The sequence below is a fragment of the Homo sapiens genome, chromosome 1 (assembly GCF_000001405.40).
Source record: "Homo sapiens chromosome 1, GRCh38.p14 Primary Assembly".
Classification (NCBI taxonomy): domain Eukaryota; kingdom Metazoa; phylum Chordata; class Mammalia; order Primates; family Hominidae; genus Homo; species Homo sapiens.
In genome coordinates, this window is record NC_000001.11 from 238,019,659 (window position 1) to 238,045,027 (window position 25,369).

The 25,369-nt window shown below is 39.4% G+C and overlaps 1 annotated feature.

The window, feature by feature from the left end:
• Window positions 23,211–23,711: an enhancer, noted in NCBI's record as "H3K4me1 hESC enhancer chr1:238206169-238206669 (GRCh37/hg19 assembly coordinates)". NCBI's record gives its function as "activates a minimal SCP1, AML or CMV promoter by ChIP-STARR-seq in naive H9 embryonic stem cells {active_cell/tissue: H9 hESC(naive)}" and the evidence as "EXISTENCE:reporter gene assay evidence [ECO:0000049][PMID:30033119]".

Consider the following 25,369-nt stretch of genomic DNA (forward strand, 5'->3'; position numbering starts at 1 on the left):
CATGGAGAATCCCCGTCTTTACTTAAAAAAAAAAATACAAAATTAGCCAGGTGTGGTGGCGCATGCCTGTAATCCCAGCTACTAGGGAGGCTGAGTCAGGAGAATCTCTGGAACCTGGGAGGTGGAGGTTGCGGTGAGCTGAGATTGCACCATTGCACTCCAGCCTGGGCAACAAGAGCAAAACTCTTATCTCAAAAAAAAAAAAAAAATATATTTTCTGGCCTGGTTACTCACTGGTGAGGTGATAGATACCAAAACATCACTTTGAGCTGAGTAAGCACTGGGATACTTTGAGTTACCATTCAAGAGAGAGAAGGTAGGGAAGAATATACTCCTTACCCAGATCAGATGGAAAATATAGACTTGTGTAAGCAGTATGGAGGTATTGACAAGTGCTCCTTAACAGAGCGTGAAAAGCTTGACAGGCATTCGGAGATTTGACCTCCGAGCATATTATTGTAATAGTTCCAATAACCCAGGTTAAAAAAGAATAAATTTGTGCAAGAATAATATTTTTGCAATAACTTTCAAAAATAAATGATGTATAAAACTTTTGTAAATTCTCATCCTATGATTTCATCCTGATTTGAATAAGTAGCAAAAAAAAAAAAAATTAATGAGCAAGTACAAGTTTATGGGATTGTAAGCAGGGATTTCCCTCCCTCTTCCTAGCATAAATCTCTGAACAGAGGAGATGCTTCTTTGACCATTATTCTGTTTCCCTAAACTTCCTTGGAGAATTCCTGATTATTCTTGTGGCTTACTAGAGTGAGGACTCCAGAAATGGTGAGATTTTAATAATTCAATGAATGCATCATTCCAGGAGCCTATTTTGGGGGATATTTGTTGGTTGTTTCCCCATCACATGCCTTATCTTCTCCTGGTGAGTTTGCTCACTCTCATTTTGGCTTTATGGATTGGGTGACCTTGACCCCCTTCAAGTTCTAGATTCTTGATTGGTTCTTGATTGGCTTCAGTAAATTGGGTTATCCTAACCCTGAGCCCACAGTGGCTGGTTCAAGGACAGGCACGTAATCCAGTCAGCGCCAATGAGATTTGAAGACACATTTCCTGGAGCACCTCAGTATTTTTTTCCCTGTGGAATCCATCCCAAAAGATTCTCATTCCCAGTGCCCAAAGATGAGGAAAGCTGGCCCTGAGAACAACTGGCAGCCACCCTGGGACCATGTGGAGAGGGTCTGCCTAGAATCAGATCCAAAAGCACTGATGTTGTCCCAGAAAACAGACAGGGGAAAACTGGATCCTGAATAGATTCAAACGTTGAATTAAGCACTGAAATATTTTTCAAACTATGATGTAAGCCCATTTTAATTGGATTTTCTTTTATTTGAACTGTGAAGGGTCTGAAATGATATAGAGACAAAATGATTCCTAGACTCGAGAAAAGAACTCTTAACTGTAGTTTTGCTAGTGGTCACAATATATCTAAAGGAAAGAAATCATGGTCACAAGGAATGCGGTCAGTATACCCATGGCTTAGGGTTGGAAGGAAAAGTGGCAATTCTTTTTAAGAGATGGTGCATCTGTGCAAAAGGACATCTTACATTCTCTGTTGAGGGGTTGGCCTATGGTTGTGCTTTCCCAGAGCTCAGATAAAACATACCCCCAAACCACTTTACCTTTATTGTTAGACTTAACAAGATCGCAGAGCAAAATTATGATGAATAATTCAGGTTTTAGAAGCCCTGGTATGGTGAGGGTAGGGTGTCTTAAGTAAAAACTGAAGCATTATGGTCATTAAAAAGTCATAGGTCCTATTTTTGATTAGCTTTTTACTTTATGTACCATTTGGTGGGTATATGTTAACTGGTGTGGGTACTTAGTTCTTAGTTAGCAAGTGGCTGAGGGTACATTAAGAAAATCCAGTATGAAAAGCTGGGGATTAGACATTAAAACATGGTACCTCAATAGAGGTGCAGGCAAGGATATCCTGCCTGACTTCCTCAGGGGGGTACCTTAACTCTACTTTTTGTGACTCTGTTTAGAATTCACGATATGCTTCACAGGGAAGAATAAAAATATATGTATGTGTGTCTCTAACAGAAGACATATGATATGACCTCACAGGCATGAACCCTCAATGTAAAGTATGGCAGATGTGTTATACAAGGTTGATTATTTCATCAAAGATGCTATGGAAATTATTAAGCATGTGAGTCTCTTCAGACTTCAGGCAATGCAGGCACAAAATGATAAAGAAAAAGTGTCTTTTCTCTTTAGAAAACAAAAAAGTTTGAAATGATAAATACTAGTTATAAATAAGTAATAAAAACTGTCAGTGGAAAAGCACATATCTAGAATCATATTCTCCTGCTCCAACTGTCAATGTAACTCTCACTGGTTTAATTTTAAAATTCCTTAAAAGTACTGTTTCCTTAGCTTAGGCATTACCATCTTGAATAAAGTTTGTTCTGGTATGGGATAAAAGAAAAACTTTTTATTATTGAAAAGTTAAATTGAGTATTTCTAAGTCCAGAGTTTCATTCTTAAAAAAATAAATTAAGACTCAAGATTTTTCTGGTTAAAGCAGTTATTTTCAAGTCAGGTATTTAAAGTCCTCAGTCAGGTATTTAAAGTCCTCAGTATAAATTTTCTAACATTAAATTTTACTTTATAATGAAAGTAGTACATGCAATTATTGAAATTTTCTAGGCAACAAATGCTCCTTGACAAGATACTGAATATTCATGGGACAAGGAATTTCCAAACTAAAGTCTTAACCTACACCTAAATGAGACCAGCTATTCTTTATGTCCCTATGCAAAAGCCTGTGGAAGGCTTTTCCAAGTGATGGTTGGTCACAGGGCACTTGGATCAGAATAACTGGGGAGACTTCCATTTCTAGTTAGGATGGACAAAATCACAGGAGACAATTGCTTCTATGCTACTAAGAACAAGCCAAATAGGCGGCAAGCTACAAAATCCTAGTTTAAGAAGTCAATTAGAGAGTTCAGGACAGAAATAGACCTAAATAAACTAAAATATAGAAAGTGGTAAGTCTTTCCTAGGAGCTGAGAGGCATTCCTGTTTTTCATACCTGGCAGAGTGGTGAGGGTGGGAGGAATCCATCATAGATGGGGTAAGAAAAAACCAGTAGAATTCTTAACAAATTTTTAATAGCATGTTTGGGCTGATAAGATACATTCTGTATCTTACATACATACAATCTGAGGAGCCCAAGACATAATTTGAGCCTGCACATACCCACCATCTCTTCCCAATTTTCTCTCACTGAGTGGATCAGGGTTGTGTGCCAAATGCTGGGGCAGGTAAGACTGCTGAGATAAAACCTCTCCAGAGACTCTTGAGATATCACTATAGACACTTGAATAATAAAAGGATGTTATGAACAACTTTATGCAATAACTTTAATAAATAAGATAAAATTGAAATCTTTGAAAAAATACAACATATCAAAATTGACAGGAGACAAAGTAGAAAATCTAAATAGCCCTGCATATCATCTGTTAAAGTCATAATACAGTCATATATTGAAGTCATAATAGAGAACCTTCCCTAAAACAAACTCCAGGCCCAGATGTCTTCACTGGTGAATTCTAGAAAACATTTAGGAATAAATATTACCAATATTTCATAAGCTCTTTCAGAAAATAAAGGATGATAAAATACTTCCCAGTTCATTTGATGAGGTCATCATAACTCTGTTGCCAAAACACAAAAGAGGTATTAAAAATATTATAGACCAATATCTCTCTTGAACATAGATGCAAAAATCCTGAAGAAATTACTAATGAATCAAAAATAGCCACATAGTACATTGTGACCAAGTGGAACTTATCCCCATAATGCGGTATTAATTTAACATTTGTATTCATTTGTTCTCACATTGCTATAAATAACTACCTGAGACTGGGTAATTTATAAAGAAAAGAGGTGTTATTGGCTCATGGTTCTGCAGGCTATACAGGAAGAATGGCTGGAGGCCTCAGGAAACTTACAAACATAGTGGAAGGCAAAGGGGAAGCATGCATGTCTTCATACAGTTGGAGCAGGAGAGAGAGTGAAGGGGGAAGTGCTACATACTTTTAAGCAACCAGATTTCATGAGAACTTACTCGCTATCACAAAACACAAGGGAGAAATCCACCCCCATGACCCAATCACCTCCCACCAGGTCCCTCCCCCAACATTGGGAATTACAAGTTGACAGAAGATTTGAGTGGGGACACAGAGCCAAGCCATATCAACATTCAAAAGTCAAACAGTGAAATTCACCAAAATAACACAATAAAGGAGAAAAATTATATGATTCAACAGATGGAGGAAGAAGCATTTGACACAATGCAAGTTCATTCATGAAAAAGAATTAACCTATGAGCAAATCAGAGATTGAAAGGAACTTTTTCTATCTGATAAAGAACACTGACAACCCCTGAAAAACCAGTAGTAAAATTTATACTGAAACATTAAACTCTTCCTCTAATATCAAGAAGAAGACAAGACATGTGTTCTTCTTAACATTGTACTGTAATTCCTGGACAGTAGTAAAGAAAAGGCAATCAGTGACATAGAGTTTGGAAAGGAAAAAAATAAAAATACTCGGGTGTGGTAGCTCATGCCTGTAATCCCAGCACTTTGGGAGGCCAAGGCGGGCGGATCACCTGAGGTTGGGAGTTCGAGACCAGCCTGACTAACATGGAGAAACCCCGTCTCTACTAAAAACACAAAATTAGCTGGGTGTGGTGACACATGTCTGAAATCCCAGCTACACGGAAGACTGAGGCAGGAGAATCACTTGAATCTGGGAGGTGGAGGTTGCAGTGAGCCTAGATTGCACCATTGCACTCCAGCCTGGGCAACAAGAGCAAAACTCTGTCTCAAAAAAAAAAAAGTATATATATATATGTGTGTGTGTGTGTGTGTGTGTGTGTGTGTGTGTGTGTGTATAATTTGATATATATATTATTTGATATATATGTTATTTGAAGATTACATGATGTGTACCTATAAATCTCAGTGGAATTTATAATCACACACACAACTACTAGAAGTAGTAAATATTTACCATTTAGCAAGGTCATAGGATACAAGATCAAAATACAACACTAATTCTAAGTACCAAAAATAAATAATTTGAAAATGAGAATAAAAATATCATTTACAGTAGTATGAAAAACCAACACCTGGGAATAAAGCTTGAAACAATCTTTGAGATCTGTCCTGTGGCTGGAGTAACAAATTACGACAAACTGATGGCGTAGAACAATATACATTTAGTCTCACAGTTCTAGAGGCTGGACATCTAAATTTGTATTACTCAGCCAAACCCAAGGTGTTAGCAGGGCAGTGCTCCCTTTAAAGGCTCTGGGTGAGAATACTTTCTTTACCTCTTTGAGCTTCTGGTGGCAGCCAGCATTCCTTGGCTTATAGCCGTATCCCTCCAATCTTTAGTGGCAATATCTTTAAATCTGCCTCTTACTTGTCTTCACATTGCCTTTTCTTCTGAGGTTGTATAATCTCCCTCTACCTCACACTTACAAGGATACATGTGATTGCATTTAGGGTCCACCTGAATAATCCAGGACATAACTCCATCACATCTACAGTATCCTTATTTTTTTTTTCCCTTGCTATACAAGGTAACATTCACGGGTTCCAAGAATTAGGTAGGATCTGATGTTTTTAGGGGCCATTGTTCAGCCATGTGACACCTGTGGATTTTAACAAAATACCTATTAGAAATAGTTAGTATTTAGCAAGATCATCAGATACAAGACCAAAAATCAATGAAAATCAATTATATTTTTAAATGCTAGCAATAAATAACTTGAAAATGAAAGTTATTTCATTAATGCTACATTTTCAGTAGCATTAAAAAAATTCAATACCTAGGAATAAAGCTAACACAATGTGTTCAAGACCTATTCACTGAAAACTAAAATATTGATGAGAATAGTTAAAAATAACCTAACTAAATGTAGAAATACGTCATATATATTACTTGTAAGACTCAGTATTATTAAGATACAGATTCAATGTAATCTCAAATTCTCAGCAAAATTGTTTAGGAAATTGACAAGATGATTCTAAAATTTATATGGAAATGCAAAGGATGTAATGTAGCCAAACAATTTTGAAAAAGGAAGAAAAGTTGAAGCCTTAAAATGATCTAACTTGTTGTAAAGCTATAGCAGTCAACATGGTGTAGGATTTATGTAAAGATAAATAAATAGATTAATGGAACAGAATAGAGTTCAGACAGAAACCTTTACCTATATTGCCAAGTGATTGTCAATAAAGCTGTTAAGTCAGTTAGGAAAGCAATGTATTTTTATGAATGATGCTAGAACAACAGGATATACATATGAAAAAAATTGAAATCTGACTCACTCAATATACAAAGAAGTGATTAAAAGATCGCAGACCTAAATGTAAAAATTATGATCTAAATCTTTTTGAAGAAAACATAAAAATATATGCTTGTGACTTCAGGGTAGGTAAAGATTTATTAGAGATGACACAAACAAATCCCACAAATTACTAAAAGAAAACATTATCAGAATCAAAAGTTTCTGGGCCAGGCATGGTGGCTCACATCTGTAATCCCAGCACTTTGTGAGGCCAAGGCAGGAGGATTGCTTGAGGCAATCTAGAATCTAGAATATATTTAGAACTTCTATACATAGAAGACAAACAATCCAACAAAAAGATAGGCAGTCTTGGACAGACATTTTCTGAATGAAGATAATAGAGTGTGCTCAAATCACAGTTATCAGGAAATGCAAATTATACCAAAATAAACTGCTATTTTACACTTATTATGATAGCCAAACTTAAAAAGATGCTAATACAAAATGTTAGGGGAAATGTAAAGCAACTGGAACTCTCATACACTACTGGTGTCAGGGTAAAACGATACAACTACTTTGGAGAACGGTTTGGCAGTATAAAGTGAAAAACACATCCATCTCTGACTCAGTAATTCTATTCCTAGTCATATAAAACAAGATAAATGACAATGTATGTGCACAAAAGTACATATATACAAATGTTCATAGACGTCTTATTCATCAGAGCTTCAAATTGCAAATGTCTAGGAACTGAAGAATGGATAAACTAGCATACAATGAAATGATATTTAGTTATAAAAAGAAACCTTTCAATGGTAGATGCTACAATGCAAATGAATCTCAAAATCATTGTGAATGATAGAAGGCAGACACACAAGAGAGAGCATATTATATGATTCAATTTATATGAAGTTAGAAAGCAGTAAAAACAAATCTGTGGTGAGGGAAATCAGAGTACTCATTTAGGGTGAGGGAAAATGGAATGGAGAGGAGTATCAGGAAACTTTCTAAGAGGTGAAAATGTTTTACAGCTTCTTTTAAGTGATGGCTACATGGATACAACCACTGTCAAAACTAATCGAACTGAACATTTAAGATCTATATATTTTAGTCCATATAAATTATATCTCAATTTAAAAATAAGATACCATTGAGAAGTTTATTATGCAGATTCTTCGGCCCCATGCCAGGTAGACTAAATTAGAATATTCAGACTAAATTAAATTCTGCAAACCACTACTAAAGATATTTGACACAAAGCAGGAATTCCGTTTAGGTAAATTTATATAGAAAGGGAAAGGGACTTTATTTTTCAGTAGACATGGAAAGTGACTTACCTTTTCACAAAGGTGGAGAATAATAAGTAGCATCTGTTCATGATTATCTAACTCTTTCTGTCCCGTGGTAGAAAGGAGAATACATTCTGGGGAACTAAGGATCCATTTTCTTAAGGGAACAGGAATATGAATGAGTGGTGATTTTGTAGGACTGAAATGTTAAGAGGTATTAGACTTAGTGGCACTCTGGGTTAAATTTTGTGGGCTGGCCTAGGGACCTAATCAACATTTATCCTAATTGCTAGTTTGAGACATTGTATTCTGAGTTCCCAGTAATTGACTTACAAATGAACTTGGGAAACACTGCTAGCTTATAAATTGAGGACAGTCTACAAAAAAAAAAAAAAAAAAAAAAAAAACGCAAAAAACTTTTTACATGACAATTGAGAGAGAAAGAAGAATGTGGTAAAGAATATAAATGTGGGAACTAAGATAAATTAATCTTTTGCAGTGTTTGTAAGGTAAATGTCATCAACAACAGTAACACTGTAGCCCCTGTACTGCTAATACTCCATAAACTATCCTTGTGAGCTCTCTTTACCCCTTCAAGGAAGCAAAACATGAGCCTAGGTATTTTCGTTTTTACTCAGGATTGCAGCGAGCTGCTCAAACTCCCATATAATTGCAATTTCATTCCATTCTCTTTTCAGATATGCAATGAGCAGCAGGTTACAGATAGAAAACTTGGGCCCAAGCTGTGAGCTCTAGGACTTGATGCACGAGTTTTCCCTCTAGGAGGAATTTTCAGTTTTGGGTTTCCCTTAAAGAATTTCACATAGGGCCGGGTGCAGTGGCTCATGCCTGTAATCCCAGCACTTTGGGAGGCTGAGGCGGGCGGATCACGAGGTCAGGAGATGGAGACCATCCTGGCCAACATGGTGAAATCCCGTCTCTACTAAAAGTATAAAAAGTAGCTGGGCATGGTGGCATGTGCCTGTAATCCCAGCTACTCAGGAGGCTGGGGCAGGAGAATCACTTGAACCAGGGAGTCGGAGGTTGCAGTGAGCTGAGATTGCTCCATTGCACTCCAGCCTGGTGACAGAGCGAGACGCCGTCTGAAAAAAAAAAAAAAAAAGAATTTCACATAGAAAGCCATCAGCACCCCGTACAGTAGGAGCATGAAGCTGTGAGGAGCATGAACAGTGAGGCAAGCTTTGTAGAACAGATGTGAAAGAAGATTTTGTGGAAGAATCAGCAGAGCTGCTGTATTGGCAGAACGAAAGCACAAGGATGCCAGCAGGTGTCTATGAGCTCAGATACCTGGGAAATGACTCCAAAAACTAAAAGAGGTGTGCAAGGAAAGAAACTTCCAGGAATTTTCTTCCTTTGAAAGGATGTGATTTGACTGTGGTTGGCTATTTTTGTAAGTTTGTTCCCAGACTGAACCAAGGGTCAGGCTGCTTATTCTCTTGGTTCAGTAATGAGATGCAGAGGAATGGGAAAGAAGAGAGTTTATTTCTGTAACCAGGTATAGGGAGAATATTGAGGAAATATTGCCAGACCAACTCAAAATTACAAAGTTTTCCAGTGCTGATATACCTTCTAAGCTATATGTCTACGTGTAAGTGTGCATTCACCTAAAGATATAAGTGATTAATTTCTTCTAATCTATAATTAAGGTCTGAGTCCTGGAGATCTTCCTCTGGAGCCTCAGTAAATTTACTTAATTTAGATGGGTCCAGGTGCTGGAGGTGATTACTCTTACCTTGTGTCCCACTAAGTTATAGACATCTGGGGAGTTCCTTTAGACCCTGCAATAAAACTTGTTTAAACCTAAATGGGTCCTTGTATGGGGAGTGTGAGCATTCCTTCCTTATCTTGTCATGCTCCAAGACCCAGAAAGGCCTGGGCAAGACTCTTAGTGGACCTTTATTGGTTGTTCCAGCCTATGTGTAAGGGTACTGGCTTTCTCAGCCTTTAATATTTAACCTAACCATTTAGTCAGTGCTGAAACATTTGTTTCGGAGGCCTGCCTTTTCAGCTTTTGTGAGATCTGGCCTGCCAGAAGTTCATTAACCCTCCAGGCCATTCTCCACACTCCTGCTAGATGATGCTTCAAGACACAGGTAAGACTACATGACCCCTCTGTCTAACTAGAAAACTTTGGCCCCAAGCCATGGGCACTCACTGGCTAAATACAGGCAGACTTCTTAGAGGTTAAGAGTGTGAGTTCTGTGAGCATAATGACAGAGCAGGAGATATCAGCCTTCTTTGCCCCAGACACGAAAAAACAATGAGACAGCTATTTGTGAATGAAAATAGCCCCAGGAGGGCTCAACAGTCCAATTAAGAAGCTACAGCAACACAGTAGAGCAAAAAAGGAGAATAAAAAAAAGTAGAGCAAAAAGCTGCAGACTCCTTGCAGCTTTCACAATAAAGTATCCATCTCATAGTGTTAGTTGGTTCTAATCCTGGTGGCCTGTTCTGCAGAGTACACCAGCATTCAGTGCCACCTTGTCTACTCTGGAGAGGGAGATGCTGCTGTGCCTGGCTTGGAATGAGCTGTTGTGCCACCCTGAGACCAAGGCAGCCACCCACAGCCCCAACTCCATGCAAGCTCTGAACCCTAGAGCTATGGCTATTCTGTGAGTGACTGTACATTGGATGTCAGCTCTGCAGCTGCTCTCATGTGCCCATGCTCCAGATCTTACTCTGAGGTTGCTCCATGTGTGCCCACATCATGGGCACTGGAGCCACTGCCACTGTAAGCTATCCAGAACCCCAGACTCTGAAGATGCTGTCACATCATGAGTGCCTGTGCTATGGACTCCAGCTCTGTGGCTGCTCCACAAGCAACTGTGCATTAGACATTATTGCTACTACTACTAGGAGGGTGCCCACAAGCCATACCCAATGCCAAGATGGATCCTGTCAGCCATGACATCCCCCTTGGGTGAAAAAGAGATCAGGAGTTTCCTAGCAGCCTTATCCACCAAAGACCCCAACAGTCCTTGTTGCCACTGTGGACACCCACAGTGTCCTTAGTCATTGAATTCTCCTGCAATATTTGCTAATGCGGACCTCACTTAGTGGGATATTCATGGAGACTACTCCCCAAAACCAGAACTGCCACACCCTACCCAGTTGGCATGCTTGTACCTACCTACAGGTGAATGTCTCTCCCCTCCAAAACCAGTCTATGAAGTTTAGAATAGGTAAATGTACCATCACGTGCTTAAACATTGATGCAAGACTACAGGAAATACAACAAATCAAGAAAACATGACATCACCAAAGAAACATAATTATTTTCCAGTAGCCAGCCCCAAAGAAATGAAAATCTATAAATTGCCAGTAAAGGAATTTAAAATAATTGTTGTAAAGACACTCAGTGAGCTATAAGATAGCAGGTATAGAAAACTCAGTGAAATTAGAAAAACAATACACAAACAAAACTAGAAGTGCAACAGTGAGATGGAAGTTATAACAAAAGAACCAGACAGAAATTTTGGAACTGCTAAATACAATGACTGAAATGAAAAATGCTGTAAAGAGCCTCAACAGTACACTTAATCTAGCAGCAGAAAGAATCTATGAATTTGAAAGCAGGTCAGAGGAGAAAAAAAAAGAAGAAAGAAAAAAGTGAAGAAAGCCAAACTGAGTTATGGGACACTATCAACACCATCAAGTGAAACATGGCATTTCCCAGATGGGAAAGAGAGAGAAAGGGAGAGAGAAAGAAAGTATTTAAAGTAATAATGGCTGAAAATTTCTCAAATCTGGAGAGAGATGCAGACATTAAAGTCCATGAAGCTCATAGGTTTCTATACAGAATGAACTGTCTCAAAGGTAAATTAAAAAATCAGTCTCACTTACAAAAGGAGCAAAAACAATAAAAGACTAAGGTATAAATTTCACCAAGATAATGAAAGATCTGCACACTGAAAACTAGAAGTCATTGATGAATACAATTGAAGTAGATAAATCAATGGAAAGATACCTTGTGTTCATGAATTGGAAGAATTAATATTGTTAAAATTGTCCATACTATCTGAAACAATCCACAGATTGAATACAATCCTTATGAAAATTCCAATGACATTTTTCACAAAATGGTAAAAAATGATTCTACGTTCTTATGGAACCACAAAGAACGCTGAATAGCCAAAAGCAACCACGAGTGAAAAGAACAAATCTGGAGGCATTACATTACTTGACTTCAAAATATATTACAAAGCCACAGTAATCAAAGCAGCATAATACCAGCACAAAAACAGATATAAAGGCCAATGGAACAGAATAGAGAGCCCAGAAATAAATCCATGCATTTACAGTCAACTGATCTTCAACAATGGTGTCAAGCATATACAATGGCAAAAGGATAGTCTCTTCAATAAATGGTGTTGGGAAACTGGATATCATCAATGCAAAAAAGTGAAACTGGACCTCTATCTTACACCATTTACAAAAATTAACTAAAAATGGAATAAAGACTTAAATGTAAGATCAGAAATCGTAAAACTCTTAGAAGAAAACGTAGGGGAAAATCTTGACATTGATCTTGGCAATGATTTTTTATGACACCAAAAGCACAGGCAACAAAGCAAAAATAAACAAATAGGACAACATCAAACTAAAAATCTTCTGTGTAGCAAAGGAAACGATCAAGAAAATGAAAAAGCAACCTACAGAATGGGAAAAAAATAACTGCAAATATATCTGATAAGGTGTTACTATCTAAAATATGTGAGGAACACATACAATTCAATAGCATCAAAACAAATAATCTGGTTAAAAATATACAAAAGACCTAAATAAACATTTTTCCAAAGATACACAAATGGCTAATAGGTACATGAAAGGGTACTCATGATCACTAATTATCAGGAAAATATAAATCAAAGCTATGATGAGATATCACCTAATACCTATTGGGATGGCTATCATCAAAAAGACAAAAGGTAACAAAGGTTGGCAAGGATGTGGACAAAAAGGGAACCCTTGTACACTGTTGGTGTGAATGTAAATTGATACAGCCATTATGAAAAACAGTATAAAGTTTCCTCAAAAAATTAAAAATAGAATTACCATATGATCCATTATCACCACTTATGAGTATATGTATATGTGTGTATACACACACACACACACACACGTACATTAGAATATTATTCAGCCATAAGAAGAAGGAAATTGTGCCACTGACAACAACATGAATCCACCTGGAAGTCATTATGCTAAGTGAAATATGCTAGGCACAGAAAGACAAATACCATATGGTATTATTCATATGTAGAATCTAAACAAACAAACAAAAAGACAAACACAAAAACCAGAGTAGAATGGCAGTTGCCAGAACAGAGATGGGGATCTGGGCATGTGGTTGGTGGAGGAAAAAGGGTTGATCAAAGGGGGCAAAATTTCAGTTATAAGTCATATAATAAGTTTTGAAGATCTAATGTATAGCATGGTTACCATTGTCACTTTGGGAGGCCAAGGCAGGCGGATCACGAGGTCAGGAGATCGAGACCATCCTGGCTAACATGGTGAAACCCCGTCTCTACCAAAAATACAAAAAATTAGCCGGGCGTGGTGGCAGGCGCCTGTAGTCCTAGCTACTCGGGAGGCTGAGGCAGGAGAATGGCGTCAGCCCGGGAGGCGGAGCTTGCAGTGAGCAGAGATCGTGCCACTGCAGTCCAGCCTGGGCGACAGAGCAAGACTCCGTCTCAAAAAAAAAAAAAAAAACAAAAAAAAAAACTGCATTGTATTCCTGAAATTTGCTAAGAGAGTAGGTCTTGCATTCACACCCAAAAAATTGAAAAAAATATAACTATGTGAGGTAGTGTTCTGTTAATTGACTTGTCTTAATTATTTCATAATATGTAAGTATATGAAATGATCACATTGTGCACTTCAAATATATGCACTTATGTTTTTGTCCATTATACCTCAATAAAGCTGAAAGAAACTAATGAATAATAAGGACAAAAAAAGAGGGTGAGCTCTAGGCTCAGGCACCAACACCACCACTTACTAGTTCTGTAACTTTTGTCATATTAACATCCTCAACCCCATGCCTTAATTTTCTCTCTGTAAAATTGATTTAATGTTTTCTACAACAAAAGACTGTCATGAAGAATAAGAAAATGATGTGGAAAGTATCGGAGTTTTTCAAAAGGTAGAAATCCTAAAAATTAACTCCTTAACACAGTCTTGACACCCCTCCATTATTTGGCCCCACTTCCATCTTCAGTCCCATAAACTGCACCCTAGGTTCCAGCCTACAGAGCTACAAATAGTTACTGAATATTTAAGGTTGCTTCAGAACTCTAAGTCTCAATTCATGCTTTCTTCCCTTCATGTCTTTCCTGAACCCTATGCACACATTTTATTAGAGCATCTACTTTATTGCTCTCATTCATTTACTTCTCTGCCCATCTGTAATAGATTGTGAGCTCCGCAGGAACAGAGGCTCTGCCTGAGTTGTCTTAGTCCAGGCTCAGAGGCAGTATAATTTATTAGCGGCAGTAGGGGAAGTTAGGGTAGCAGTGGTAGTATTAATAATACAGTCATTCCTCAGTATTGGTGGGTAATTGATTTCAGGACTCCTTGAAGGATAACGACATCGATGATATCATGGCAGACAGAAGGCAGGACTACATTGCATCTCTGGATAGAGCAGCATGTGGTGGCTTGCATTGTGAATTTGAGCTCCAGATCGACTGCAAGAACAAACCAGCAATCCTGAGAGGACCCACAGACCCTCTGAAGGAAGTGAATTGCTCCTGCAGGACCTGAGAGACACCTCAAATACTATGAATGTTGCAACTGTGGAAGTGGGAAAGGGAGAACCTCCTCTCCTGAACACACACCCCCACTGGAGAAACTGAAGGTCTGTTTGTGGGATAAGTTTCTGACCTTACCTGGAGCTGAGTCAATTTAGAGAGCCGAGTAAAATAACAGGGGTAGAGGAAGCAGCAGAAGTGCCCTGGAAGCTCGCTGGTTCCCCAAGCAGCCCATTCCAGCCTGGTACCACAAGGATCCATCAGGAGGGTGGCCAGAGGAACAGGGGATAAAATGCCATAGGGAGAAGGAAATCTCTAGCTGAACTTTATAACAATTTGAATGAGGTGAGAAGCCTCCTGGCCAGAACTTGGGGGAGGGTGCAAATCCAGTGTGCAGACTCCACAGGCTGGGGAAAAGCCAAGCCCTTTCCTTTTGCAGCTGGGAGGTGGACATCCTGGGACAAGTTTTCAAGCCCATCTCACCCACCACCTGGAAACAGGCTCAGGGCTGTCAGGGGAGGACACGGTGGGAATGAGACTGGCCCTTGGGTTTGCTTGGGAGCTGGGTGAGGCCCATGACTGCCAGCTTTCCCCACTTCCCTGATAACCTGCTTGACTCAGTAGAGGCAGCCATAATCCTCCTAGGTACACAACTCCAGTGACCTGGGAATCTCACCTCCATCTCCCGACAGCAGCCAAAGCAAAATCCACCCAAGGAGAGTCTGAACTCAGACAGCCAAACACTGCCCCCACCTGATGGTCCTTCCTTACCCACCCTGGTAGCTGAAGACAAAGGGCATATAATCTTGGGAGTTCTAGGGCCCTGACCACCACCAGTTCCTCTCCATAATACCACAGCTGGTGCTCTCCGGAAAGTGCCACCTCCTGGCAGGAGGCCAACCAGCATAAAAATAGAGCATTAAGCCACCAAAGCTGAAAACCTTCATGGAATCCATTGCGCCCCTGCCCCCGCCACCTCCACTGGAACTCATGGTGATATCCATAGCTGAGAGACCCATACACGGTACACCACAGAACTCTGTACAGACAACCCCCAGTACCAGCCCGGAGCCAGGTAGACTCGCTGGGTGGCTAGACCCAAGAAGACAGACAACAATCACAGCAGTTCAGCTCACAGGAATCCACATCCTTAGGAAAAGGGTGAGAGTACTACATCAAGGGAACACCCCATGGGACAATAGAACCTGGACAACAGCCTTCAGCTCTAGACCTTCCCTCTGACAGAGCCCACCCAAATCAGAAGGAACCAGAAAACCAACCCTAGTAATATGACAAAATAAGGCTCTTTAACACCCCCCAAAAATCATACTAGTTCACCAGCAATGGATGCAAACCAAGAAGAAATACCTGATTTACCTGAAAAACAATTCAGGAGGTTAGTTATTAAGCTAATCAGGGAGGCACCAGAGAAAGGCAAAACCCAATGCAAGGAAACCCAAAAAACAATACAAGAAGTGAAGGGAGAAATATTCAAGGAAATAGATAGCTTAAAGAAAAAACAATAAAAAATTCAAGAAACTTTGCACACTTTTAGACGTGAACTGCTTTGGAAAGTCTCAGCAATAGAATTGAACTAGTAGAAGAAAGAAATTCAGAGCTCAAAGACAAAGTCTTTGAATGAACCCAATCCAACAAAGACAAAGCAAAAAGAATAAGAAAATATGAACAAAGCCTCCGAGAAGTCTGGGATTATGTTAAATGACCAAACCTAAGAATAATTGGTGTTCCTGAGGAAGAAGAGAATTCTAAAAACTTGGAAAACATATTTTGGGGAATAACTGAGGAAAACTTCTCTGGCCTTGCTAGAGACGTAGACATCCAAATACAAGAAGCACAAAGAGCACCTAGGAAATTCATCTCAAAAAGATCATTGCCTAGGCACATTGTCATCAGGTTATCCAAAGTTAAGATGAAGGAAAGAATCTTAAGAGCTGTGAGACAGAAGCACCAGGTAACCTATAAAGGAAAATTGATCAGATTAACAGCAGACTTCTCAGCAGAAACCCTACAAGCTAGAAGGGATTGGGGCCCTATCTTCAGCCTCCTCAAACAAAACAATTTTCAGCCAAGAATTTGGTACCCAGCAAAACTAAGCATCATATATGAAGGAAAGATACAGTCTTTTTCAGACAAACGAATGCTGAGAGAATTTGCCATTACCAAGCCACCACTACAAGAACTGCTAAAAGGAGCTCTACATCTTGAAACAAATCCTGGGGACACTTCAAAATAGAACCTCTTTAAAGCATAAATCACACAGGACCTATAAAAAAAAATAAGTTAAAAAGCAAAAACCAAAAACAAAAAATCCAAAGTACACAGGCAACAAAGACCATGATGAATGCAATGGTACCTCACATTTCAAGACTAACATTGAATGTAAATGGCCTTAATCCTCCATTTAAAAGATACAGAACTGCATAATAGATAAGAACTCACCAGAAAACTATCTGCTTCCTTCGGGAGACTGATGTAACACATAAGGACTCACATAAACTTAAAGCAAAGGGGTAGAAAAGGCATTTCATGCAAGTGGACACCAAAAGCCAACAGGGGTAGTTATTCTTATATCAGACAAAACAAACTTTAAAACAACAGCAGTTAAAAGAGACAAAGAGGGACATTATATAATGGTAAAAGGCCTTGTGGAACAGGAAAATATCACAATCCTAAACATATATGCACCTAACACTGGAACTCCCAAATTTAAAAAACAATTACTAATAGACCTAAGAAGTGAGATAGACAGCAGCACAACAATAGCGGGGGACTTCATTACTCCACTGACAGCACTAGACAGGTCATCAAGACAGAAGGTCAACAAAGAAACAATGGATTTAAACTATACCTTGGAACAAATGGACTTAACAGATATTTACAGAACATTTCATTCAATAGCCACATAATATGTGTTATATTAAGTACCCTGAACAGCCCAATAACAAGCAGCGAGATTTAAATGGTAATTTTTTTTTGGCTTGGTCATCCCCAGAGGATGCAGTTGTTTTTATTTATTTTTTATTTATGTATTTTTAAATTTTATTTTATTATTATTATACTTTAAGTTTTAGGGTACATGTGCACAATGTGCAGGTTAGTTACATATGTATACATGTGCCATGCTGGTGTGCTGCACCCATTAACTCGTCATTTAGCATTAGGTATATCTCCTAAAGCTATCCCTCCCCCCTCCCCCGACGCACAACAGTCCCCAGAGTGTGATGTTCCCCTTCCTGTGTCCATTTGTTCTCATTGTTCAATTCCCACCTATGAGTGAGAACATGCGGTGTTTGGTTTTTTGTCCTTGCGATAGTTTACTGAGAATGATGATTTCCAATTTCATCCATGTCCCTACAAAGGACATGAACTCATCATTTTTTATGGCTGCATAGTATTCCATGGTGTGTATGTGCCACATTTTCTTAATCCAGTCTATCATTGTTGGACATTTGGGTGGGTTCCAAGTCTTTGCTATTGTGAATAGTGCCGCAATAAACATACGTGTGCATGTGTCTTTATAGCAGCATGATTTATAGTCCTTTGGGTATATACCCAGTAATGGGATGGCTGGGTCAAATGGTATTTCTAGTTCTCGATCCCTGAGGAATCGCCACACTGATTTCCACAATGGTTGAACTAGTTTACAGTCCTACCAATAGTGTAAAAGTGTTCCTATTTCTGCACATCCTCTCCAGCACCTGTTGTTTCATGACTTTTTAATGATTGCCATTCTAACTGGTGTGAGACGGTATCTCATTGTGGTTTTGATTTGCATTTCTCTGATGGCCAGTGATGATGAGCATTTTTTCATGTGTCTTTTGACTGCATAAATGTCTTCTTTTGAGAAGTGTCTGTTCATGTCCTTCACCCATTTTTCATGGGGTTGTTTGTTTTTTTCTTGTAAATTTGTTTGAGTTCATTGTAGATTCTGGATATTAGCCCTTTGTCAGATGAGTGGGTTGCGAAAATTTTCTCCCATTTTGTAGGTTGCCTGCTCACTCTGATGGTAGTTTCTTTTGCTGTGCAGAAGCTCTTTAGTTTAATTAGATCCCATTTGTCAATTTTGTCTTTTGTTGCCATTGCTTTTGGTGTTTTAGACATGAAGTCTTTTCCCATGCCTGTGTCTTGAATGGTAATGCCTAGGTTTTCTTCTAGGGTTTTTATGGTTTTAAGTCTAACGTTTAAGTCTTTAATACATCTCGAATTAATTTTTGTATAAGGTGTAAGGAAGGGATCCAGTTTCAACTTTCTACATATGGCTAGCAAGTTTTCCCAGCACCATTTATTAAATAGGGAATCCTTTCCCCATTGCTTGTTTTTCTCAGGTTTGTCAAGGATCAGATAGTTGTAGATATGCGGTGTTATTTCTGAGGGCTCTGTTTTGTTCCATTGATCTATATCTCTGTTTTGGTACCAGTACCATGCTATTTTGGTTACTGTAGCCTTGAGGTATAGTTTGAAGTCAGGTAGCATGATGCCTCCAGCTTTGTTCTTTTGGCTTAGGATTGACTTGGCGATGCGGGCTCTTTTTTGGTTCCATATGAACTTTAAAGTAGTTTTTTCCAATTCTGTGAAGAAAGTCATTAGTAGCTTGATGGGGATGGCATTGAATCTATAAATTACCTTGGGCAGTATGGCCATTTTCATGATATTGATTCTTCCTACCCATGAGCATGGAACGTTCTTCCATTTGTTTGTATCCTCTTTTATTTCATTGAGCAGTGGTTTGTAGTTCTCCTTGAAGAGGTCCTTCACGTCCCTTGTAAGTTGAATTCCTAGGTATTTTATTCTCTTTGAAGCAATTGTGAATGGGAGTTCACTCATGATTTGGCTCTCTGTTTGTCTGTTGTTGGTGTATAAGAATGCTTGTGATTTTTGTACACTGATTTTGTATCCTGAGACTTTGCTGAAGTTGCTTATCAGCTTAAGGAGATTTTGGGCTGAGACAATGGGGTTTTCTAGATATACAATCATGTCATCTGCAAACAGGGACAATTAGACTTCCTATTTTCCTAATTGAATACCCCTTATTTCCTTCTTCTGCCTAATTGCCCTGGCCAGAACTTCCAACACTATGTTGAATAGGAGTGGTGAGAGAGGGCATCCCTATCTTGTGCCAGTTTTCAAAGGGAATGCTTCCAGTTTTTGCCCATTCAGTATGATATTGGCTGTGGCTTTGTCATAGATAGCTCTTATTATTTTGAGATACGTCCCATCAATACCTAATTTATTGAGAGTTTTTAGCATGAAGCGTTGTTGAATTTTGTCAAAGGCCTTTTCTGCATCTATTGAGATAATCATGTGGTTTTTGTCTTTGGTTCTGTGTATATGCTGGATTACATTGATTGATTTGCGTATATTGAACCAGCCTTGCATCCCAGGGATGAAGCCCACTTGATCATGGTGGATAAGCTTTTTGATGTGCTGCTGGATTCGGTTTGCCAGTATTCTATTGAGGATTTTTGCATCAATGTTCATCAAGGATATTGGTCTAAAATTCTCTTTTTTGGTTGTGTCTCTGCCCGGCTTTGGTATCAGGATGATGCTGGCCTTATAAAATGAATTAGGGAGGATTCCCTCTTTTTCTGTTGATTGGAATAGTTTCAGAAGGAATGGTACCAGTTCCTCCTTGTACCTCTGGTAGAATTCGGCTGTGAATCCATCTGGTCCTGGACTCTTTTTGGTTGGTAAGCTTTTGATTATTGCCACAATTTCAGAGCCTGTTATTGGTCTATTCAGAGATTCAACTTCTTCCTGGTTTAGTCTTGGGAGGGTGTATGTGTCGAGGAATTTATCCATTTCTTCAAGATTTTCTAGTTTATTTGGGTAGAGGTGTTTGTAGTATTCTCTGATGGTAGTTTGTATTTCTGTGGGATCGGTGGTGATATCCCCTTTATCATTTTTTATTGCGTCTATTTGATTCTTCTCTCTTTTTTTCTTTATTAGTCTTGCTAGCGGTCTATCAATTTTCTTGATCCTTTCAAAAAACCAGCTCCTGGATTCATTAATTTTTTGAAGGGTTTTTTGTGTCTCGATTTCCTTCAGTTCTGCTCTGATTTTAGTTATTTCTTGCCTTCTCCTAGCTTTTGAATGTGTTTGCTCTTGCTTTTCTAGTTTTTTAAATTGTGATATTAGGGTGTCAATTTTGGATCTTTCCTGCTTTCTCTTGTGGGTATTTAGTGCTATAAATTTCCCTCTACACACTGCTTTAAATGTGTCCCAGAGATTCTGGTATGTTGTGTCTTTGTTCTCGTTGGTTTCAAAGAACATCTTTATTTCTGCCTTCATTTCGTTATGTACTCAGTAGTCACTCAGGAGCAGGTTGTTCAGTTTCCATGTAGTTGAGCGGTTTTGAGTGAGTTTCTTAATCCTGACTTCTAGTTTGATTGCACTGTGGTCTGAGAGACAGTTTGTTATAATGTCTGATCTTTTACATTTGCTGAGGAGAGCTTTACTTCCAACTATGTGGTCAATTTTGGAATAGGTGTGGTGTGGTGCTGAAAAAAAATGTATATTCTGTTGATTTGGGGTGGAGAGTTCTGTAGATATCTATTAGGTCCACTTGGTACAGAGCTGAGTTCAATTCCTGGGTATCCTTGTTAACTTTCTGTCTCGTTGATCTGTCTACTGTTGACAGTGGGGTGTTAAAGTCTCCCATTATTATTGTGTGGGAGTCTAAGTCTCTTTGTAGGTCACTGAGGACTTGCTTTATGAATCTGGGTGCTCCTGTACTGGGTGCATATATATTTAGGATAGTTAGCTCTTCTTGTTGAATTGATCCCTTTACCATTATGTAATGGCCTTCTTTGTCTCTTTTGATCTTTGTTGGTTTAAAGTCTGTTTTATCAGAGACTAGGATTGCAACCTCTGCCTTTTTTTGTTTTCCATTTGCTTGGTAGATCTTCCTCCATCCTTTTATTTTGAGCCTATGTGTGTCTCTGCATGTGAGATGGGTTTCCTGAATAGAGCACACTGATGGGACTTGACTCTTTATCCTATTTGCCAGTCTGTGTCTTTTAATTGGAGAATTTAGTCCATTTACATTTAAAGTTAATATTGTTATGTGTGAATTTGATCCTGTCATTATGACGTTAGCTGGTTATTTTGCTCGTTAGTTGATGCAGTTTCTTCCTAGCCTCGATGGTCTTTACATTTTGGCATGATTTTGCAGTGGCTGGTATCGGTTGTTCCTTTCCATGTTTAGTGCTTCCTTCAGGAGCTCTTTTAGGGCAGGCCTGGTGGTGACAAAATCTCTCAGCATTTGCTTGTCTGTAAAGTATTTTATTTCTCCTTCACTTATGAAGCTTAGTTTGGCTGGATATGAAATTCTGCGTTGAAAATTCTTTTCTTTAAGAATGTTGAATATTGGCCCCCACTCTCTTCTGCCTTGTAGAGTTTCTGCCAAGAGATCCGCTGTTAGTCTGATGGGCTTCCCTTTGTGGTAACCCGACCTTTCTCTCTGCCTGCCCTTAACATGTTTTCCTTCAGTTCAGCTTTGGTGAATCTGACAATTATGTGTCTTGGAGTTGCTCTTCTCGAGGAGTATCTTTGTGGCATTCTCTGTATTTCCTGAATCTGAATGTTGGCCTGCCTTACTAGATTGGGGAAGTTCTCCTGGATAATATCCTGCAGAGTGTTTTCCAACTTGGTTCCATTCTCCCTGTCACTTTCAGATACACCAATCAGACATAGATTTGGTCTTTTCACATAGTCCCATATTTCTTGGAGGCTTTGTTTGTTTCTTTTTATTCTTTTTTCTCTAAACTTCCCTTCTCGCTTCATTTCATTCATTTCATCTTCCATCACTGATACCCTTTCTTCCAGTTGATCGCATCGGCTCCTGAGGTTTCTGCATTCTTCACGTAGTTCTCGAGCCTTGGCTTTCAGCTCCATCAGCTCCTTTAAGCACTTCTCTGTATTGGTTATTCTAGTTATACATTCGTCTAAATTTTTTTCAAAGTTTTCAACTTCTTTGCCTTTGGTTTGAATTTCCTCCTGTAGCTCGGAGTAGTTTGATCGTCTGAAGCCTTCTTCTCTCAACTCGTCAAAGTCATTCTCCATCCAGCTTTGTTCCATTGCTGGTGAGGATCTGCGTTCCTTTGGAGGAGGAGAGGCGCTCTGCTTTTTAGAGTTTCCAGTTTTTCTGCTCTGTTTTTTCCCCATCTTTGTGGTTTTATCTACTTTTGGTCTTTGATGATGGTGATGTACAGATGGGTTTTTGGTGTGGATGTCCTTTCTGTTTGTTAGTTTTCCTTCTAACAGACAGGACCCTCAGCTGCAGGTCTGTTGGAGTTTGCTAGAGGTCCACTCCAGACGCTGTTTGCCTGGGTACCAGCAGCGGTGGCTGCAGAACAGTGGGCTTTCATGAACCGCGAATGCTGCTGTCTGATCATTCCTCTGGAAGTTTTGTCTCAGAGGAGTACCCGGCCGTGGGAGGTGTCAGTCTTCCCCTACTGGGGGGTGCCTCCCAATTAGACTGCTCGGGGGTCAAGGGTCAGGGACCCACATGAGGAGGCAGTCTGCCTGTTCTCAGATCTCCAGCTGCATGCTGGGAGACCCACTGCTCTCTTCAAAGCTGTCAGACAGGGACATTTAAGTCTGCAGAGGTTACTGCTGTCTTTTTGTTTGTCTGTGCCCTGCCCCCAAAGGTGGAGCCTACAGAGGCAGGCAGGCCTCCTTGAGCTGTGGTGGGCTCCACCCAGTTCGAGCTTCCTGGCTGCTTTGTTTACCTAAGCAAGCCTGGGCAATGGCGGGTGCCCCTCCCCCAGCCTCGCTGCCGCCTTGCAGTTTGATCTCAGACTGCTGTGCTAGTAATCAGTGAGACTCCGTGGGTGTAGGACCCTCCGAGCCAGGTGTGGGATATAATCTCCTGGTGCGCTGTTTTTTAAGCCCGTTGGAAAAGCGCAGTATTAGGGTGGGAGTCACCTGATTTTCCAGGTGCCGTCTGTCACCCCTTTCTTTGACTAGGAAAGGGAACTCCCTGACCCCTTGTGCTTCCCGAGTGAGGCAATGCCTCGCCCTGCTTTGGCTCGCGCATGGTGCGCTGCACCCACTGTCCTGCGCCCACTCTCTGGCACTCCCTAGTGAGATGAACCCGGTACCTCAGATGGAAACTGCAGAGATCACCCGTCTTCTGTGTCGCTCACGCTAGGAGCTGTAGACCGGAGCTGTTCCTTTTTGGCCATCTTGGCTCGAAATGGTAATTAAAAAATTACCAAAAAAAAAAAAAAAAAAAAGGCCAGGACCAGATGGATTCACAGCAGAATTCTACCAGACATTCAAATAATTGGTACCAATCTTTTTGACACTATTCCACAAGATAGAAAAAGAAGGAACCCTCCCTAATTCATTCTATGAAGCCAGCATCACCCTAATACCAAAACCAGGAAAGGGCATAACCAGAAAAGAAAACTACAGACCGATATCCTTGATGAACATAGATGCTAAAATCCTTAACAAAATACTAGCTAACTAAATCCAGCAACATATCAAAAAGATAATCCACCATGATCAAGTGAGTTTCATACCAGGGATGCAGGGATGATTTAACGTACACAAGTCAATAAATGTGATACATCACATAACCAGAATTAAAAACAAAAATCACATGATCATCTCAATAGATGCAGAAAAAGCATTTGACAAAATCTAGCATCGCTTTATGATTAAAACTCTCAGCAAAACTGGCATACAAGGGACATATCTTAATGTAATAAAAGCCACCTATAACGAACCCTTAGCCAACATCATACTGAATCGGGAAAAGTTGAAAGCATTCCCTCTGAGAACTGGAACAGATAAGGATGCCTGCTCTTACCACTTGTCTTCAACTTAGTACTTGAAGTCCTAGCCAGAGCAATCAGATAAGAGAAAGAAATAAAGGACATCCAAATTGGTAAAAAGGAAGTCACACTGTCACTGTTTGCTGATGATATGATTGTTTACCTCGAAAACCCTAAGGACTCCTCCAGAAAGCTCCTAGAACTGATAAAAGAATTCAGCAAAGTTTCCAGATACAAGAGTAATGTACACAAATCAGTAGCTCTTCTACACACCAACAATGACCAAGCAGAAAAGCAAATCAAGAACTGAACCCCCTTTACAATAGCTGCAAAAAAAAAAAAAAACCCAAAAAAAAAAACTTAGGAATATACCTAACCAAGGAGTTGAAAGACCTCTACAAGGAAAACTACAAAACAGTGCTGAAAGAAAACATGGATGACACAAACAAATGGAAACCCATCCCATGCTCATGGATGGGTAGAATCAATATTGTGAAAATGACTGTACTACCAAAAGCAATCTACAAATTCAATGCAATTCCCAGCAAAATACCACCATCATTCTTCACCAATTGGAAAAAAAATCCTAAAATTCATGTGGAACCAAAAAAGAGCCCACATAACCAAAGCAAGACTAAGCAAAAAGAACAAATCTGGAGGCATCAACTACCTGATTTCAAACTATACTATAAAGCCATAGTCACCAAAACAGTATGTTACTGGTATAAAATTAGGCACATAGACCAATGGAACAGAATAGAGAGCCCAGAAATAAACCCAAATACATACAGCCAACTGATCTTTGACAAAGCAAACAAAAACATAAAGTGGGGAAAGGACACCTTTTTCAACAAATGATGCTGGGATAATTGGCTAACCACATATAGGAGAATGAAACTGGATCCTCATCTCTCACCTTAAAAAAAATCAACTCAAGATGAATTAATAACTTAAACCTAAGACCTGAAACTATAAAAACCCTAGAAGATAACATTGGAAAAACCCTCCTAGTCCTTGGCTTAGGCAAGGATTTAATGACCAAGAACCCAAAATCAAATGCAGTTAAAACAAAGATAAATAACTGGGACCTAATCAAACTAAAGAGTTTTGCATGGCAAAAGAAACAGTGAGCAGAGTAAATAGGTAACCCACAGAGTGGGAGAAAATCTTTAT